Raw genomic sequence first — 20,086 nt, 5'->3', positions numbered from 1 at the left:
AAGGCGGGTGAATCACGAGGTCAGGAGTTTGAGACCAGCCCGGCCAACATCGTGAAACCCCGTCTCTACTAAATAGACAAAAATTAGCCGGGCGTGGTGGCGTGTGCGTGTAATCCCAGCTACTAGGGAGGCTGAGGCAGGAGCATTGCTTGAACCTGGGAGGCGAAGGTTGCAGTGAGCTGAGATCGGGCCACTGCACTCCAGCCTGGGTGACAGAGCGAGACTCCGTCTCAAAAAAAAAAAAAAAAAGAAAGAAAAAGAAAAGGGGGAGGTAATTTTAGAATGGTCAGAGAAGGTTTTTTTGAAAAGATAACATTAATCAAACGAATAAATGAATGAAAAGCCACTCGCTAGCGGATTCATTATTTGCTATACTTATTTAGAGTTTGTCAGTCACGAGACTGTTACGGCTCTGATGCTGAGTATCTTTTGAATCCTATGTTGATGATGCCCAAAAGGCAAGTGCAGAGATGAAGCATAATGAAGAATCCTTTTCAATTTCTTTTCAGTCCTCTGACCTTGCCTCTGCCGTCACGGTCACACTCCCCCACTGACACTCCCATTCTTCTGTTTCCGGACACTTGCGGCCTGGAAGCGCATGTGCAAGAGAAACCGTCATTCCTGGTGAAGGGCGAGCCCCCGGCAGAACGCATGCGCCTCTGTCCCTTAAGCCCCGCCCCGACCTCAGCGCCCCCTCGCGAGCGCCTGCCGTTTCTCGGGGCGGGACGGGGGGGCGGGGACTGGGCGGAGAGGCGCGTGCTGCTGCGTGCGTGCGCGCGCGCCGCGGGCGGGCCAGTGAAACCGGCGGCCCTGGCACGTGACCTAGGACCGGCTCACCGGGTCGCTTGGTGGCTCCGTCTGTCTGTCCGTCCGCCCGCGGGTGCCATCATGGCGGACGCGGCCAGTCAGGTGCTCCTGGGCTCCGGTCTCACCATCCTGTCCCAGCCGCTCATGTACGTGAAAGTGCTCATCCAGGTATGAGGCGTCGCCGCTCCCTACCCCGCCCGGCGCCCCGTTCGGTCGCTGCTGCTCAGGGCGCCTGAGGATCGGCTCAGCCTTGCGGGCCTTTCATTCTCCCGAGATGCTGCTGCTCCTCCGCTGCCCTTTACCTCCCCGCAGGGACAGCTTCCTCAGTCCCGCGGCCCCGCTTGGGGGCCTCGCCGAGCCCTCGCCTCGCCGCCCAGCGTTGAGGCCCTCTCCTCCCTTAGCCAACCGCCACCCGGCCCTGCCCTGCCCGGCGGATCCTCTGAACTTTGGTTCTTCGTCACTGAGGTGGATCCTGGCCGGTCGCCACCAAAGGCTTCCGAACCCTCCCTCTCGCCCCTCCGAAATTCACATTCACCACTACTCCCCCCAAAATCTCAGACGCAAAACACGAAATACTCAGTTGAAGACAAATGTGAAGTTAGGTGGGAACCAACATTTTATTTTTTATTCCTTTTTTTTTTCTTTTTATGCTACTGTTACTACTGCTTTTCTGTTCCGAGGTTTTCGCACCAGATACTGAGAGAAACACAAGGAGCTCATTCAGAAGTGTTAATGAAGGGGTTGCTCTGTCAGATTTCGGAAGGATGCATTGAGCGCTTTCCAGCAGCGGCCCATGTGGCTCCTGACAATGAAAATCACATTTGTCAGAGCTGGAAATTAGTGAAGCTGAGTTTTAGCGAGTTTAAACATGGGAGTTAGTTTCTAATCTACTGTCAAATAATTATTACATGGTATTTTATATTCACATGCAGGTAGGCCAAGTAAGTGATAGACTTAGTGTTTCCAGTTCCTTTGCTATATCCCTGTAATGGGCAGGTCATTCTTTTTTTTATGCTTTTACTGAGAGTTGACATAATTACCTCATGCACTGTGCCTAGGAATGGAACAGTTTTTAGAACCCCTGTCTCGCCGTCTACTTTTCTGTAAAAAATAGGCAAGACACTAGAGAGGGCCCCATTTCTTATTCTTGAGTTGTTGGGAATCCAAATTATTTCTTGCTGAGTAGACCTGTGTGAATTCAGATTCCATATGTTAAAGGCTATTGCAAATAAATTCTTTGTACTTAGAACAAAGACTGATTAGAATGTACTGTAACATCCAAAACAGAATTGGCACATTTGGGGCTAGATAGCATCGGAGGTGACAGCATGTTGCAGTATATAGTAAGAACCCTTGGGGCCGGGCGCGTTCGCTCACGCCTTCCCAGCACTTTGGGAGGCCGAGGTGAGCGGATCACGAGGTCGATGTTTGAGACCAGTCTGACCAACATGGTGAAACCCCGTCTCTACTAAAAATACAAAATATAGCCAGGTGTGGTGGTGCGTGCACGTAATCCCAGCTAGTCGGGAGGCTGAGGCAGGAGAATCGCTTGAACCCGGGAGGTGAAGGTTGCAGTGAGCCGAGATCGCGCCATTGTACTCCAGCCTGGGCAACAGAGCAAAACTCAGCCTCAAAAAAACAAAACAAAACAAAAAAGAACCCACTACTCAATACTTCTCTGGGAGACGGGGTTTTCTAATGATGTTCAGAGCTCTTGCCCCAAAAACTTTGAATATTCTTAATTCTGATTTCACAACATCTATGTGTTGCCAAGTAGCCCAGGAGTTTTGGTGAAATTCCCAAATGCTCAGTTGTAAAAATAGTTACTTGGGCCGGGCACGGTGGCTCACGCCTGTAAATCCCAACACTTTGGGAGCCTGAAACAGGCGGTTCACCTGAGGTCAGGAGTTAAAGACTAGCCTGGCCAACATGGCAAAACCCCCTCTCTACTAAAAATACAAAAATTAGCTGGGTGTGGTGGTGGGTGCCTGTAATCCCAGCTACTCAGGAGGCTGAGGTACGAGAATGGCTTAAACCTGGGAGATGGAGGTTGCAGTGACCTAGATCGTGCCACTGCACTCCAGCCTGGGCGACAAGAGCGAAACTCTGTCTCCAAAAAATAAATAAGTAACTAAATAAAAATAAAAATGGTTACTTGGTAGCACTTTCAGGGAGCTCAGACAGGAGTTATTTGTTTATTTATTTGTTGTTGTTTTTGAGATGGAGTTTTGCTCTTGTCACCCAGACTGGCATGCAATGGCACAATCTCGGCTCACTGCAACCTCCGCCTCCCAGGTTCAAGCGACTGTCCTGCCTTAGCCTCTTGAGTAGCTGGGATTACAGGTGTCCGCCACCACACCTGGCTAATTTTTGTGTTTTTAGTAGAGACAGGGTTTCACCATGTTGGCCAGGCTGGTCTTGAACTCCTGACCTCAGGTGATCCGCCCACCTTGGCCTCCCAAAGTGCTGGGATTACATGCATGAGCCACCACGCCAGCCCAGGAGTTACTTAATAGGACAGATTAAGAGTCACAACAATAATCAAAACTATGTCCTACAGCATTCATTCTGTCAAGTATCTGTAGTGTTAAAAATCCTGGGTATATTGTACAAAGACCATGGTAATCATTAACTATATAAAATGGACTTCATTAGCTGTTAATGACAGCCTGTGTTTTTTTGTTTGTTCGTTTGTTTGTTTGTTTTTGAGATGGAGTCTCGCTGTTGTCGGCCTCGGCTGGAGTGCAGTGACACAATCTCGGCTCACTGCAACCTCTGCCTCCCGGGTTCAAGTGATTCTCCTGCCTCAGCCTCCCAAGTAGCTGAGATTACAGGCGCCCGCCCCTACGCCCGGCTAATTTTTTAGTTCTAGTAGAGACAGGGTTTCACCATGTTGGCCAGACTGGTCTCGAACTCCTGACCTCAGGTGATCCATCCCCCTCGGTCTCCCAAAGTACTGGGATTACAAGGCATGAGCCACTGCGCCCGACCGACAGCCTGTTCTTCTAACATGAAGTTAGCTTGTAATTCTTTCCTAAGTGAATTATCCAGCTATATCTGCATTTGCCTTTTGAGTGTTTTGTCTGGGTTGCCAAATATGCAGCTGATGCTGGCGTAATGGATGTCTTCTAGTTTTGTTCAAATACAAAATGTGCCTTAGATTTTATTTAGAAGGTATTTTTGAGCCCCCTTAGTAAACTGTAGCTTTCCTAACGCAAAAGTTCCCTTCTTTCAGTTTGATATTAGCCTATTTCAGCTACATGGTTTACGTCATAGAATTTGAACCAAAATGAAACTTGGAGTTTATTGAACTCAGTATTACCAACAGAAGAAAAACCTACAAGAATGATGCTTCATCATTGCCTTGGAAAACCTATGCTGCATTTTTACTTGTGTTTAAAAATAACCCAAATTGTGTTCTTTATTCAAGACCTTGCAAGCAAGACATTTCTGGAAATATTGCTTTAATATTGATATATTCCATTGTTTTTAAAGGTGGGATATGAGCCTCTTCCTCCAACAATAGGACGAAATATTTTTGGGCGGCAAGTGTGTCAGCTTCCTGGTCTCTTTAGTTATGGTAAGTGCCTTTGATTTATTTGGGTTTGCATGACGTTGAGGACTGTGATAGGCAGGAGTTGTTATTGAAAGAAAATATATAGAAAGCTTGTTTCTTTGAAATTGTAGTATATCCATTTCTCTTGACCAGAACTTGACAACATCTCTGACTTGTGTTCTTAGCTCAGCACATTGCCAGTATCGATGGGAGGCGCGGGTTGTTCACAGGCTTAACTCCAAGACTGTGTTCGGGAGTCCTTGGAACTGTGGTCCATGGTAAAGTTTTACAGGTAAGAGGAAAATTAAATCAATCTTCCCATAGATGTTGCTTACCTGTTATGCATAGTTTGTTCTAAATATCAAGAGCAATTTAAAAGATACATTTATAACCCTGTCCTTTCTTCCTCTTGAAAAACACTTTCTTTTTTTTTTTTTTTTTTTTTGAGATGGAGTCTCACTCTGTCGCCCAGGCTGGAGTGTAGTGGCGCGATCTGGGCTCACTGCAAACTCCGCCTGCCGGGTTCACGTCATTCTCCTGCCTCAGCCTGAGTAGCTAGGACTACAGGCTCCCGCCACTGCGCCCGGCTAATTTTTTGTATTTTTAGTAGAGACAGGGTTTCACCGTGTTCTCAATATCCTGACCTCGTGATCCGCCCGCCTCGGCCTCCCAAAGTGCTGGGATTACAAGCATGAGCCACCGCGCCCGGCGGGACTCAGTGAAATTGTTGCTGTTACTTCCATGAAATTTACATATGGAAAGGCAGTTGTCATCTAGCCAAAGAGGTTTGTGTATAGACTTAGAGAAAAAGAGAAAGTGCTGCTTGAGACTAAGTTACTTTATGTAACTGTAAAGTAAGACAAACTTGAGGTAACCAGGTACCCTGAATATGTTCCAAATGTAGTCCAGTGAAATATTACAGGGTTGGTACTACACTTAGCATCCAAAGCTGCTTGTACAGTCAAGAAGAAGGATCTATGCAGGGCTGAGAAAATTATTAACCTTTACAAGAAATAATTTTGTAAACTGAACAAGAATTAAAATGAAATTCAGGAAATGTAGAAGACAGGTTAGATAATTATATCGATGGAGTAAATAACAAAGTATAGAAACAAGTGAAAATTTAGAGACCTGAAGCTATTAGAATTAATTCTAGCCAAGGACCTGGAATTTGGCCAAAATACATTACTTTGCTTTATCTTCACATTTGTTCTCTTGCCCGTGATTTTTTTAAACACAATTCTTTTTACAAGAGAAAATGTTGTCTATTTTTGAAATCTGATATGGCTAGAAAATAATAAAACTGACATTAAAAAATAAGAAAACAATAAAACTGGTGGTTACACAAGAAGGAGCTCTCAATTGATAATTTTATTTTCACCTAGCTCACATTCTATTTCCAAAATACGCCACAAAAAATTCCTCTTGCAAGAATTTTTCTCTGGGCTCTGGCAGTATTCATGATCTCTTCTCTAGAAGAGAAAAAAAAAACCTCTTGCTTGTTTTAGAAACCATCAGATACAAAGGAGAAAGTGAGGCGATTTCAGCTCTTCAGTCTTAATATCAATTCTCTGTCCTTTTATGCAGGGAAGAAAAGAGTCTTGCCCTAATTTGGTATTGGTCATGCGTTTTCCATGAGAAAAGTGGGAACCCTGGGCTATGTTTTTACTGACTTATTTTCTGTTAAAACTGAAAGTTCTTGGCCAGGCGCAGTGGCTCATGCCTGTAATCCCAGCACTTTGGGAGGCTGAGGCGGGTGGATCAGCCGAGGTCAGCAGTTTGAGACCAGCCTGGCCAACATGGTGAAACACTGTCTCTACTAAAAATACAGATGTTAGCCAGGCGTGGTGGTGGGCGCATGTAATCCCAGCTACTCAGGAGGCTGAGGCAGGAGAATCGCTTGAATCTGGGAGGTAGAGGTTGTAGTGAGCTGAGATTGAACCATTGCACTCCAGCAGTGAGCCGAGATTGCACCATTGCACTCCAGCTGGGTGACAAGAGTGAAACTCCATCTAAAAAAAAAAAAAAACAGAGTTCTTGAATTTTCTTTTTTGTTGTTGTTCTTATTTTGTAATTATTTCTTTAAATTTATTATTATTTTTTTAGAGACAAAGTCTCACTATGTTGCCCAGTCTGGTCTTGAATTCCTGGGCTCAAGCAGTCCTCCCTCTTCGGCCTTCCAAAGTGTTGGGATTACAGGCGTGAGTCACTGCGCATGTTCCCTTTTCGTTTTTTGGGTTTTTTTGTTGTTTTTTTTTGAGACAGAGTTTCACTCTTGTTGCCCAGGCTGGAGTGCAATGGCATGGTCTCGGCTCACTGCAGCTTCCACCTACCGGGTTCAAGCAATTCTCCTGCCCCAGCTTCCCACGTAGCTGGGATTACAGGCACCTACCACCACGCCCAGCTAATTTTTGTATTTTTAGTAGAGAGGGGGTTTCGCCATGTCAGCCAGGCTGTTCTCAAACTCCTGACGTCAGGTGATCCGCCTGCCTCAGCCACGCAAAGTGCTGGGATTACAGGCGTGAGGCACCATGCCCGGCCCCTTTTCTTTTTTTCTGAGATGGAGTCTTGCTCTGTTGCCCAGGCTGGAGTGCAGTGATGTGATCTCAGCTCACTGCAGTCTTTACCCCCCGGGTTCAAGCAATTCTCCTGTCTCAGCTTCCCAAGTAGCTGGGATTACAGGCGCCCGCCACCAAGCCCAGCTAATTTTTGTACTTTTAGTAGAGATGGAGTTTCACCACGTAGGCCAGGCTGGTCTCAAATTCCTAACCTCAGGTGATCCACCTGCCTTGGCCTCCCAAAGTGCTGAGATTATAGGCGTGAGCTACCGCACCCAGCCTTCCCTTTTCTTTTTTTTTTTCTTGAGACGGACTCTTGCTCTGTCACCTGGGCTGCAGTGCAGTGGCGTGATCTTGGCTCACTGCAACCTCTGCCTCCTGGGTTCAAGTGATTCTCCTGCCCCAGCCTCCCTAAGAGCTGGGATTAAAAGCGTGCGCCCCAATGCTCCGCTAATTTTTGTATTTTTAGTAGAGATGGGGTTTCACCATGTTGGCCAGGCTAGACTTGAACTCCTGACCTCAGGTGATCTGCCCACCTCGGCCTCCTAAAGTGCTGGGATTACAGGCATGAGCAACCACACCTGTCCCCTTTTCTTTTTTCAAAGAAGAGTTTTCATGACCATTTGCTTTTCTTCCAACTGACCAATATGTTAAACTTAGCAACAAGTTTATCTTGGAGATCCATATTTCCAGTTGATTAATGAGTAGAAGTTAACTGAAGATTTGCAGCTTAAAAAAAAAAACAAAAACTTTAAAAAAAACTTCAGCTAATTTACTTTCTGTCAGTAGAGTTTTCATTTTATGTCTTCTTTCACATGACACTGTAATAACCCTAATCATCCTTTTTCTTTTTTTCTATAGCATTACCAGGAGAGTGACAAGGGTGAGGTATGTTGGAGCTGATTTCTAAGCATGAGGGCCTTTCCCTTGCAAGTTGTTACTGCTTTTGGGGCCTCTTTTGGAGAAAAGCCAAGTAGTCAGTCTCCTATTCATCTCAGTGAGTGTTGTCCTATGGGGTGGCCACCAGTTTGGACAGTTCTGTTTGAAACCATCAGGATGGCTGGGCATGGTGGCTCATGCCTGTAATCCTAGCAGTTTCGGAGGCCAAGGTGGGAGGATCACTTGCATCTAAGAGTTTGAGACCAGCCTGGGCAACATAGACCCCTTCTCTACAGAAAATCAAAGATTAGCGGGGCCTGGTGGCACATACCTCTGTATCTCAGCTACATGGGAGGTTGAGGTGAGAGGATCACTTGAGTCCAGGACGTCAAGACTGCAGTGATCCATGATCACATCACTGCACTCCGCGTGAGTGACAGAGCGAGACCCTATCTCAAAAGAAATAAAAACCGTCAAGATCGGCCGCCCATGGTGGCTCATGCCTGTAATCCCAGCACTTTGGGAGGCCGAGGCAGGTGGAGATCACGAGGTCAGGAAATCGAGACCATCCTGGCTAACACGGTGAAACCCCGTCTCTACTAAAAATACAAAAATTAGCAGGGCGTGGTGGCGAGCACCTGTAATCCTAGCTACTTGGGAGGCTGAGGCAGGAGAAGCACTTGTACCCAGGCGGTGGAGCTTGCAGTGAGCCGAGATTGTGCCACTGCACTCCAGCCTGGGCGACAGAGCGAGACTCTGTCTCAAAAAAAAAAAAAAAAAAAAATCAAGATCTCTATTTTCTTTGATTTTGATTTCCAGGAGTTAGGACCTGGAAATGTACAGAAAGAAGTCTCATCTTCCTTTGACCACGTTATCAAGGAGGTAAGAGATGAATTACATCCTGTGCTGTTTGCCCAGATCAAACTGTGGTGTTGCAACTATGGAATCAGAATCATCAGGCCTGTGTGTTCAGTGTCTGTTCCCAAATGAAATTAAACCTTCAAATTAATTTGGGCTTTACTACATGTATAACATTAAAAAGAGAGAGGATCAGTGCTTGCTGTTCAGAATAGATGCATTTCAAGAAAACTCATTTTGCCCACACATTCCGTCTTTAGAATACTGAAAGTCTTCTAATAGTGTTGAAAACCTCAGGAATAAAAGTGTTAAAATAGGCCAGGTGTGGTGGCTCACGCCTGTAATCCCAGCACTTTGGGAGGCCAAGGCAGGAAGATCACTTGACCCCAGGAGTTAGAGACCAGCCTATGCAACATAGTGAGACTTCCTCTCTACAAAAAAAATAGAAAAATTAGCTAGGTGTGTGGTGGCACATATCTGTAGTCCCAGGTACTCGAGAGGCTGCGGTGAGAAGATGACTTAAGCCCAGGAAGTTGAGGCTGCAGTGAGCTATGATTGTGCCACCATACTCCAGCCTGTGTGATAGAGCAAGACCTTGTCTTTAGAAAAAAGTATTAAAATAGCGACCAGGCCCTTTGTATGTTGGATAGTATCTATGCAGAAAGGCTCTTTTGACATTTTTCTGACTCTGAAAAGTTCCTCATCACCCATTTCCCACCCCCATATGCTGCCATAGGTGTTTCTGTGCCTGGCTTTCAGAACTATTCTCTTATTACTTAAGTCTTCACATTGTCTTAATTGTCATTAATGAAGTCACAATTATCCAGGAAATGCAGCCATCCAAAATACATATTCCAAAGGCTGGGCGCAGTGGCTCATGCCTGTAATCCCAGCACTTTGAGAGGCCGAGGCGGGCGGATCACCTGAGGTTGGGAGTTGGAGACCAGCCTGACCAACATGGAGAAACCCCGTCTCTACTAAAAATACAAAAATTAGCCAGGCATGGTGGCGCATGTCTGTAATCCCAGCTACTTGGGGGGCTGAGGCAGGAGAATGGCTTGAACCCGGGAGGCAGAGGTTGTAATGAGCCAAGATTGCACCATTGCACTCTAGCCTGGGCCACAGGAGTGAGACTCCATCTCAAGAAAAAAAAAAAAAAAAAAAAAAAATATATATATATATATATATATTCCAAAACAAACATTACTAAAGGTCTGGAAACCAGATAAATTAGCTCTATTTTCTGTAAATTTTCATGAAATTAGTTTGCTTAAAAGCAGGGATACGGCCGGGCGTGGTGGCTTACACCTGTAATCCCAACACCTTGGGAGGCCGAGGCGGGCAGATCACGAAGTCAGGAGATTGAGACCACCCTGGCTAACACGGTGAAACCCCGTCTCTACGAAAAATACAAAAAAATTAGCTGGGCATGGTGGCAGGCGCCTGTAGTCCCAGCTACTCGGGAGGCTGAGGCAAGAGCATGGCGTGAACCTGGGAGGTGGAGCTTGCAGTGAGCCAAGACTGCGCCACTGCACTCCAGCCTGGGAGACAGCGAGACTCCCTCTCAAAAAAAAAAAAAAAGCAGGGATACATGTATTACTATGCAATTAGTATTTTCCTTAGTTTGCCCATCCAGTCCCATAGGATCTTATGCCCTTGGAGAAGGGGTGAGGGCTGTCTTAAAACTCAGTGACTAGGCCGGGTGTGGTGGCTCACACCTATAATCCCAGCACTTTGGGAGGCTGAGGCGGGCAGATCACGAGGTCAGGCATTCAAAACCAGCTTGGCCAACATGGCGAAATCCCATCTCTACTAAAAATACAAAAAAAATTAACTGGGCATGGTGGTGTGTGCCTGTAATCCCAGCTACTCAGGAGGCTGAGGCGGGAGAATCACTTGAACCTGGGAGGTGGAGGTTGCAGCAAGCTGAGATCGCACCACTGCACTCCAGCCCGGGCAACAGAGCAAGACTCTGTCTCAAAAAAAAAGAAAAGAAAAAACTCAGTGACCATAAAGATACTGTTTAAATGCAAAAGCCGGCCAGGCACGGTGGCTCATGCCTGTAATCCCAGCAGTTTGGGAGGCCGAGGCGGGCGGATCATGAGGTCAGGAGATCGAGACCATCCTGGCTAACACGGTGAAACCGTCTCTACTAAAAAATACAAAGAAAAAAAATTAGCCGGGCATGATGGCGGGTGCCTGTAGTCCCAGCTACTTGGGAGGCTGAGGCAGGAGAATGGCGTGAACCCGGGAGGCGGAGCTTGCAGTGAACCGAGTTCGCGCCACTGCACTCCAGCGTGGGTGACAGAGCAAGACTGTCCTAAAAAAAAAAAAAAAATGCAAAAGCCAATGGTAGACCTGCTTACATTTGCAATCCCAGAACCTAAATGCAAAGATTATAATTTAATTTTCTTTATTACTTCCTTACAGAGCCCTAGAGTAGAAAGATAAACTAGGAAAAACACAGCAGCTCTAAGATACTGCACAGTTACTGGGTTGTAGTCACAAAACAAAATTGTTCTCTTCTCCCAAAAATGTGAGTAGAGACTAAATGGAGCCTGTCATTTATCTAGAATGATGTCAGACTCTCCAAAATCACTTACCAATAAGAGAGCAACTTAATAATCTCAATAAAGGCCTCATATTTTTTATTTCAGCTTAATGACTTTGTTGGTGACCTTTCCTGTTTCTTTATTTTTTTCTCTTACCTGTAAAATTGAGAAAACAACAGAAGCCTGCTTTGCAGAGAAATTTTGAGAAGTAACTATAATAGAACATTGAGATCCATGAGTGAAAAGTATGATAAAATGACAATGAATGAGATCTTTCACATCCCATTCAAACTCTTCTTGACTCCAGCCAGGGCAGGAGGGCTGTGTCATTCACTTTCTTATCCTATACCACGATATCCACCCACATTCCTTCTCACAGGCATTTGAGTGTCATTTGTTTAGATTTCAGAAGTGTGTGTTGATTGTTTCTAGACAACTCGAGAGATGATCGCTCGTTCTGCTGCTACCCTCATCACACATCCCTTCCATGGTATGTTTGCAGTTGACAACTGACCTTTCTTTTATAACCTGATCTCTCCTGACCACTTAGATAGGTTGACGTGGGAGTTGACTAAAATGCCTTGCCTGCATGTTTTTGTTTGCTTGCTTGTTTTGGCTTTTATCCAATTTATCCAGATAGCAAAATGTCTTTAGGTGGAAAATCTTTTTTTTTCCCAGGGCTATCAAAATCTATCTTAACATAGTTTTTTTTTGTTTGTTTGTTTTTTGTTTTTGAGACGGAGTTTCACTCTTGTTGCCCAGGCTGGAGTGCAATGGCACAATCTTGGCTCACTGCAACCTCAGCCTTCCGGGTTCAAGCAGTACTCCTGTCTCAGCCTCCTAAGGAGCTGGGATTACAGGTGCATGCCACCACGCCTGGATAATTTTTGTATTTTTAGTAGAGATGGGGCTTCATCATATTGGTCAGGCTAGTCTTGAACTCCTGACCTCAGGTGATCCGCCCACCTCGGCCTCTCAAAGTGCTGGGATTACAGGTGTGAGCCACCGCACCTGGCCTTAACATAGTTGTAAACATCTTTTCTCTATATTCCACAGTGATCACTCTGAGATCTATGGTACAGTTCATTGGCAGAGAATCCAAGTACTGGTAAGTATTTTTGTTTTCACATACTCAAGGAGATCTTTTGAAGCCAAAGTACTAGAATAATACTACTTTGTATTTTTATGATACCCTTACAATTTGTAGAACAAATTCGTATCTGATGTCATTTGATCTGCACAAAAAACAATAAAATGGGAGAAAATATACCCAGGCAGGTTTAGTAGCCTACGTAGGATTTCAGAGTAAGTTGCAGAGCCCCTGACTCCATATGACTATACCCCTAGGTAGTTAATATTTTCACTTCTATCTCCAAATTTAGCTATCTTTGCAGAGTGAGAGAGTGCTAGAAAAGTGTGAGGGAAGGAGGTCGTGGATTTGACCTTGTCCAATGTGATAATTGAAATTATTTTGTTTATAGCTCCAAAAGAATCTTAATATATTTTACCTTTTCTTCTTGTGTACGTAGTGGACTTTGTGATTCCATAATAACCATCTATCGGGAAGAGGGCATTCTAGGATTTTTCGCGTGAGTAAATGTTGATTAGTGTGTAATTTTTGCATGAGTGGGAAACGTTTTCTGAAAGTAAGAATAGTGAGTCTTTGTTTAATCCTTGGGGAAAACGTACTCCCTGGGCTTACCTCACGTTACATTCTATTTAGGCCCCTTATTTTTTTTTCTTTTTTCTCTGCAGAAAGGCATATTTAGGCCCCATATGACTAGAATTATCTTGTAAAGATCCCAAACCTTTACTTCTAGATACTTAAAACATTTGAGGCCGGGCGTGGTGGCTCACGCCTGTAATCCCAGCACTTTGAGAGGCCAAGGCGGTTGGATCACCTGAGGTCAGGAGTTCAAGACCAGCCTGGCCAACATGGTAAAACCCCACCTCTAGGTGTGGTGGTGTGTGCCTGTAATCCCAGCTACTCGGGAGGCTGAGGCAGGAGAATTGCATGAACCCGGGAGGTGGAAGTTGCAGTGAGCTGAGATTGCACCACTGTACTCCAGCCCGGGTGACAGAGTGAGACTCCGTCTCAAAAAAATAATAATAATTAATAAATAAATAAGGAATTTCTTTTTTTAACAAAGGACTTAATTCCAAGTTTCTACCCTTGTAGTAAACTCCCAATTCTATATAGATAATAAAATGAGAAAAATTAAATGTTGAAAAATGGGGAAATCATCTTAACTTGTATTTTCCTTACCGTAAAAGAGTAAGTTTTTGCAAGGCTTGAATTTACTTTGGAAGAACTTAGACTACTACCCTCATTCTTCTATGAGGAAAAATTTTGCATCATTACCGAAATGGTGTTTTTTGTTTTTTTTTTTTTAATTTTCAGAGTATCTCCCCATACGGATTTTGAATATCATAAATACCCTGTGAGATAGGCAGGACAGCTATAATTAGTATCACTTTAGAGATTAAAAAACATTGATGCTCTGAGAGTTTCATCTGCTGCCTGTCACATCGCTGCTGAGTGCTGGAGCTGGCATTTGAAGCTGGTCTTCAATCCGTGGGGAAATGCTCTTCCCACTATTCCATGCTGCCTCACCTAGGTCACCCAGACCCTAGAAATGTGGTTTTTGATGCCTCTCATCTGTATCTGTACTTGGGACCATTCTTGCTTTGTAATTTTTCTCGTCTTTTGCTCTGCCAAATATGAATATCAGATAGCTTAGCAAAATCATTTTTTTAAGCTAGTCAAAGCAAAACAATATTTAAGTCTCTTCTGCAAAGCACCTCGCAAATCTTTTGCCTCCCTGCTTACAGTTATGAATAGTAAGGTGAGCCACTGAGGGTATAGCCGACCTGCATTTTAAACATAGGAACAAAAGTCACTGGAGATCAGCTTCAAGTACAGCTGTGTTAACGAGAATGAACTAGGTATGCGGGCTGGATTCTGGTGTTTGATTCCTTTTTTACTTCCCTAGAATGTTTTGTGACCTCTAATTATTTGACAAACATTTGTACTGAAGAGCCTGTCATGTTACTGATCACATTTTTTGGTTCTTATTTTTATTGTTTCTTCATGTAGGGGTCTTGTTCCTCGCCTTCTAGGTGACATCCTTTCTTTGTGGCTGTGTAACTCACTGGCCTACCTCGTCAATACCTATGCACTGGACAGTGGGGTAGGTTGTGACCTTCGTGAGATGTGCTCACCTTGGCTTTAATCTGGCAGCTAGATTAGCTTTTAAAGTAAGATGGGCCGGGCGAGGTGGCTCACACCTGTAATCCCAGCACTTTGGGAGGCCAATGTGGGCGGATCACCTGAGATCAAGAGTTCGAGACCAGCCTGGCCAACATGGTGAAACCTCGTCTCTACTAAAAATACAGAAAAAATTAGCTGGGCGTGGTGGTGCGTGCCTATAGTCCCAGCTACTTGGGAGGCTGAGGCAGGGGAATTGCTTGAACCCAGGAGGCGGAGGTTGCAGTGAGCCAAGATCGCGCCACTGCATTCCAGCCTGGGTGACAGAAGGAGACTCCATTTCAAAAAATAAATAATAAATAAATAAACAAGATGACAGTTTGCTACATGCCAGACTGAACAATTATATAGCTAAAAATTATCAGTCAAATTTTCAAATGCTAATGAAATGAGCATACTGTTCACTGTAGAACGATACTGTTTACTGTAGAACGATACACGTTAAAAGTCCGTAAGATGTGACAGAGTATACCCAAGAGACTTAGCCCTGTGTTACTTCAGGGCTTTAAAGAGATCACTTCTTTACTGATACTTAACTTGAGAGAACCTGGGAAAGCAGGACATCTTTATGGTGTATCGGGGGCTTTTCATCTAATCTGGACTTAAGAGGGTGCCTGTATTGGGCTTTCTAGAAACCTCAGCCTTTTGAGAATCAGTCTTATCTAGAAGTTGTCTTTCTTATCTCAGCAGTTGTGGGGCCTCTTGTATGTCGGCAGCTCCATAGCATGATGATAAATTGAACACATCACAGGGTATATGACTAAATCCATGTTGTAAACCTCTTGAGTACAGAGAGGGATTTTCTTCAACGCATCTGGTAGAAAGCTAGCTGTGTAAAACAAAGGTAGTGAATTGTCCCTTAGATATACTATAAATGTGGTTTTCCAGGGACTGTATTTCTAGGATGTGTGAAAAGGTTATCAATCTCATTTTCTTTAGTATTTGAAATCCTTTTACATTCGTCCCTAAAGCATTTTAGTATAATATGAATTTGTCTGTTAATATTGAATCAGGTTGATCATTTTGACCACTGCCTTATTATTCTAATAATCAGTGTTTTATGGTTTTGTCCTCAAAATTAGTTTTAGACAGGTGTGGTGGCTCATGCTGTAATCCCAACACTTTGGGAGGCTGAAGTGGGAGGGTCACTTGAGCCCAGGAGGTCAAGGTTGTGAGATCACAGCTCACTGCACCTCCAGCCTGGGCAACAAGAGAGATGAGATCCTGTCTCAAAAAAAAAAAAAAAATTAATTTTCAAGCTGTCAAACTGATAATTTAGAGATAGACTATATTGACATGGAGAGCAAGGCACAGTAGCTCCAGCCTATGATTCCAGCGACTCAGGAGGCTTAGGTGGGAGGTTTGCCTGAAGCCAGGAGTTTGAAACCAGCCTAGGCAACATAGCAAGACACCGTCTCTTAGCTGGGCATAGTGGCTTATGCCTATAATCTCAGCACTTTGAGAGGTCAAGGTGGGAGGATCTCTTGAGCCCAGGAGTTTGAGACCAGCCTGGGCAAACATAGGGAGACCCTTATCTCAAAAAAAAAAAGACACCATTTCTTAAAAAATATTTTGAAATTAGCTGGGCGTGGTGATGTGTGCTTCAGGAGGTCACTGCACTTCAGCCTGGGTGACAGAGTGAGGCACTGTCTGAAAGAAAAAAAGAAAAGAAAAGAAAAGGAAAAAAGAATATATTGATGTGTTGTAGTGTTGTAGGTAATTAATTTAAGGCTCTTTTCCTATTTTAGGTTTCTACCATGAATGAAATGAAGAGTTATTCTCAAGCTGTCACAGGAGTGAGTTTTTTAAAATCCTTTTAACCTTCTAGGAATAGTTGTGTTTTGTTTTGTTTTCCTTTTAAATCTGGCTTGTGTCATCACTGCTTTAAGATAACCAGATGTCTCACTGGGACATCTCCCTGAAATTTGTTATATTTGTCAAAGGTAAGAATAACTCAGTTTTCGGCCAGGCGCCATGGCTCATGCCTGTAATCCTAGCACTTTGGGAAGGTGAGGTGGGCGGATCACCTGAGGTCAGGAGTTCGAGACCAGCCTGGCCAACATGATGAATCCCCGTCTCTACTAAAAATACTAACATTAGCCGAGCGTGGTGGTGCATGCCTGTAATCCCAGCTACTCGGGAGGCTGAGGCAGGAGAATCACTGGAACCTGGGAGATGGAGGCTGCAGTGAGCTGAGATCACGCCACTGCACTTCGGCCTGGGCGACAGAGTGAGACTCCATCTCAAAAAAAAAGAGAGAATAACTCAGTTTTCGAAGGAACCACAGACTCACATGTGAAAATAAAGAGAGTAAGGCAGAACCCCTGCCTCACATCCTGCATGGTTTGGTACTGCTTAGCTTTCATAAGGGGCGTGCCTTTCCTCCGAAATAATATTGTTCAGGCCAGACATGGTGGCTCACACCTGTAAACCCAGCACTTCGGGAGGCCAAGGAAGGAGGATCACTTGAGGCCAAGAGTTCAAGACCAGCCTGGGCAACTGAGCAAGACCCCATTTCTACAAAAGTGAAAAAAAAAAAAAAAAGCTGGGGCAGGCGCGGTGGCTCACTCCTGTAATCCCAGCACTTTGGGAGGCTGAGGTCGGGAGTTCGACACCACCTTGGCCAATTTGGAGAAATCTCATCTCTACTAAAACTACAAAATTAGCTGGGCATGGTGGTGCATGCCCGTAATCCCAGCTACTTGGGAGGCTGAGGCAGGAGAATCGCTTGAACCCCAGGAGGCGGAGGTTGCAGGAGAATCGCTTGAACCCAGGAGGCGGAGGTTGCAGTGAGCCAATATCACACCATTACACTCCAGCGTGGGCAACAAGAGGGAAACTCCATCTCAAAAAAAAAAAAAGTAGTTGGGTATGGTGGCGTGCGCCTATAGTCCCAGCTACTCAGGATCAGAGAATTCTTCTGGCCTTTTGTTAAAATGTTGGATGCAGTGGTGTGCTAAGAGGAAGAAGCATCTCCAGGCTCAAAACTGTAACTGTTGTCTTTCCAGGGTACCGATGAAGCGAGACAAGTGTTAGAGTGTCTCACCGCAGTGGCACTAGGCCTTTAAGGTAAAGGAAAGGAGAATAAAGACTAGGAATGATCTAATAACAGCTGCCTTGTTTCCATTTTACAGTTTTTTGCGAGTATGTTGACCTATCCCTTTGTGCTTGTCTCCAATCTTATGGCTGTCAACAACTGTGGGTAAGCACTTTGTATTTCTTATTCTAGTAGGTGGTTGACTGTATGCTGACAGGCGGAGCAGCCTTGTAGAAATTTAGGAAAGATGAATGATCAGTATCAATCTCTGATTGGTATTTTTTTAAAAAGGGGGGGAGGAAAAGTATAATTGATACCATTAGAAGATTCCTAATTTTTTTCTTTGTATGCCCTATGCAGCAGCAGCCTCAATTTGTATTTATTTATTAATTATTATTATTATTTTTTTTTTTTTTGAGATGGAGTCTTGCTATGTTGCCCAGGCTGGAGTGCAGTAGCATGATCTCGGCTCACTGCGACCTCCACCTCCTGGATTCAAGTGATTGTCCCGCCTCAGCCTCCTGAGTAGCTGGGATTACAGGCATTCGCCACCATGCCCAGCTAATATTTTTGTATTTTTGGTAGAGACAGGGTTTCACCATGTTGGCCAGGCTGGTCTCGAACTCCTGACCTCAAGTGATCCACCCGCCTCAGTCTCCCAAAGTGCTGGGATTACAGGCATGAACCACCATGCCAGGCCAATTACTATTATTATTTATAGTTTTTGTTTTTGTTTTTGTTTTTGTTTTTTGAGACAGAATCTCACTCTGTCACCCAGGCTGGAGTGCAGTGGTGCAGTCTCGCTCCATTGCAACAGACACCTCCTGGATTCAAGCAGTTCTCATGCCTCAGCTTCCCAAGAAGTTGTGATTACAGGCATGTGCCACCATGCTGGGCTAATTTTTGCATTTTTAGTAGAGATGGGGTCTTGCTATGTTGGCCAGACTGGTCCTGAACTCCTGACCTCCGGTGATCTGCCTACCTCGGACTTCCAAAGCGCTGGAATTAAAGGCGTGAGCCACTGCACCTGGCCTATTTTTATTTATTTTTAATTTTTTTAGAGATAGGGCTGCAATGTGGTGGTGAAGTCCTAGCTCACTGCAGCCTTGAACTCCTGAGCTCAAGGGATCCTCCCATCTCAGCTTCCCAAGTAGTTGGGAGTACATGTGCATGCCACCATGCCTGGCTAATTATTTTTTGTGAAGACACAGGGTCTCACTTTGTTGCCCAGGCTGTTCTTAAATTTCTAGGCTCAAGTGATTCTCCTTCCTCAGCCTCTTAAAGTGCTGGGATTACAGGGGTGAGCCACCATGCCCAGCCAACATATTGTTATTTTAAATCTTTATCTTTTCTATGAAAGTGACAAAAGGTATATCAGGGATTAAATGACAATCCATACCTGTTTTTCCTAGGGGCTTTATGGAGAAAGTGAGTTTTAAAGAACCAGAATTAGGATATTTAGTCTATGGAAAGTTTGATGACCTTTTCTCTGTATTGGTTAGAAGGGCAGGTTTTGGTATAGTGGTAGACTCCATTGATTTCCAAATTCTAGATGCCAAGTGACTCTACTGAGTTGGGCAAAATTTTGCCTTTTTTTTTTTTTTTTTGAGATGGAGTCTCACTCTGTTGCCCAGGCTATAGTGCAGTGGTGCAATCTCGACTCACTGCAACCTCCACCTCCCAGGTTCAAGCAATTCTCCTGCCTCAGCCTCCTGAGTAGCTGGGATTACAGGTGCCCACCAGCATGCCTGGCTAATTTTTTGTATTTTTTTGTTGTTGTTATTGTTGAGACAGAGTCTTGCTCTGTTGCTCAGGCTGGATTGTGGTGGCGCGATCTTGGTTCACTGCATCCTCCACCTCCTGGGTTCAAGTACTTCTCCTGCCTCAGCCTCCAGAGTAGCTGGGATTATAGGCACTTGCCACCACCCCCGGCTAATTTCTGTATTTCTAGTAGAGACAGTGTTTCACCATGTTGGCCAGGCTGGTCTCGAACTCCTGACCTCAAGTGGTCCACCCTCCTCGACCTCCTAAAGTGCTGGGATTACAGGCGTGAGCCACTGCACCCAGCCTTGCCTTTTTTGTTTAATTCAAAATTCTTTTCCCATATGGTACCTGACATATCATTAAACATGTTACTGTTTTCAAATAAGATCAGATAGCTATGTGGAGTTTTGAACATTTTACATTGTTTGTTTTCTGGTTTTGTTTGTTTCATGTTACTCCTGGCAAGCTGTGATGTTTTCTGATACGTAGAGCAACTGCCATTTTTTAGCACAGTGTAAACTTGAAGGATGAATTAAATGTATTATTATTATTTACAGTTTTTTCAAGATGAAGTGATTATACCTAAGTAGGAACATATATATCTACTGTTTATATCCGTTTTCATGTTTAGTATCTTTGTGAACACCAGTTAGTTTTTAAATCTCCTTTCCCTGCTCTTTTTTTTTTTTTTTTTTTTTAAAAAAAGACTGGTTCTTACTCTGTCACCCAGGCTGGAGTGCAGTAGTGCAATCTTGGCTCACTGCAACTTCCGCCTCCTGGGTTGAAGCAATTCACATGCCTTAGCCT

At 44.5% G+C, this 20,086-nt stretch overlaps 1 protein-coding gene across 11 annotated transcripts in view, besides 1 other annotated feature; it reads left to right on the top strand.

Moving 5' to 3' along the window:
* Positions 605 to 874: a silencer, noted in NCBI's record as "silent region_3337". NCBI's record gives its function as "represses an Ori minimal core promoter by ATAC-STARR-seq in GM12878 lymphoblastoid cells {active_cell/tissue: GM12878}" and the evidence as "EXISTENCE:reporter gene assay evidence [ECO:0000049][PMID:35858748]".
* The window catches only part of MTCH2 (mitochondrial carrier 2), a 38,243-nt gene continuing 18,951 nt past the window's right edge, over positions 795 to 20,086 (top strand). For 3 of the 11 annotated variants that reach the window (XM_011519959.3, NM_014342.4, NM_001317231.2), the window contains exons 1-11: positions 795 to 975; positions 4,303 to 4,387; positions 4,549 to 4,655; positions 7,783 to 7,809; positions 8,620 to 8,682; positions 11,643 to 11,700; positions 12,267 to 12,318; positions 12,740 to 12,799; positions 14,308 to 14,401; positions 16,227 to 16,274; positions 17,613 to 17,680. In XM_011519959.3, coding sequence (XP_011518261.1) covers positions 889 to 975; positions 4,303 to 4,387; positions 4,549 to 4,655; positions 7,783 to 7,809; positions 8,620 to 8,682; positions 11,643 to 11,700; positions 12,267 to 12,318; positions 12,740 to 12,799; positions 14,308 to 14,401; positions 16,227 to 16,274; positions 17,613 to 17,680 — 749 coding nt within the window. In that variant the 5' untranslated portion in view covers positions 795 to 888. The remainder of the gene's footprint in view (positions 976 to 4,302; positions 4,388 to 4,548; positions 4,656 to 7,782; positions 7,810 to 8,619; positions 8,683 to 11,642; positions 11,701 to 12,266; positions 12,319 to 12,739; positions 12,800 to 14,307; positions 14,402 to 16,226; positions 16,275 to 17,612; positions 17,681 to 20,086) is intronic. The other 8 variants (XM_011519960.4, NM_001317232.2, XM_011519961.3 and 5 more) reach the window with 6 other exon arrangements.

Source organism: Homo sapiens, chromosome 11 (genome assembly GCF_000001405.40).
Source record: "Homo sapiens chromosome 11, GRCh38.p14 Primary Assembly".
NCBI lineage: Eukaryota > Metazoa > Chordata > Mammalia > Primates > Hominidae > Homo > Homo sapiens.
The sequence above is the reverse complement of the archived record's forward strand: the minus strand, read 5'-3'. Positions and strand labels throughout refer to the sequence as shown.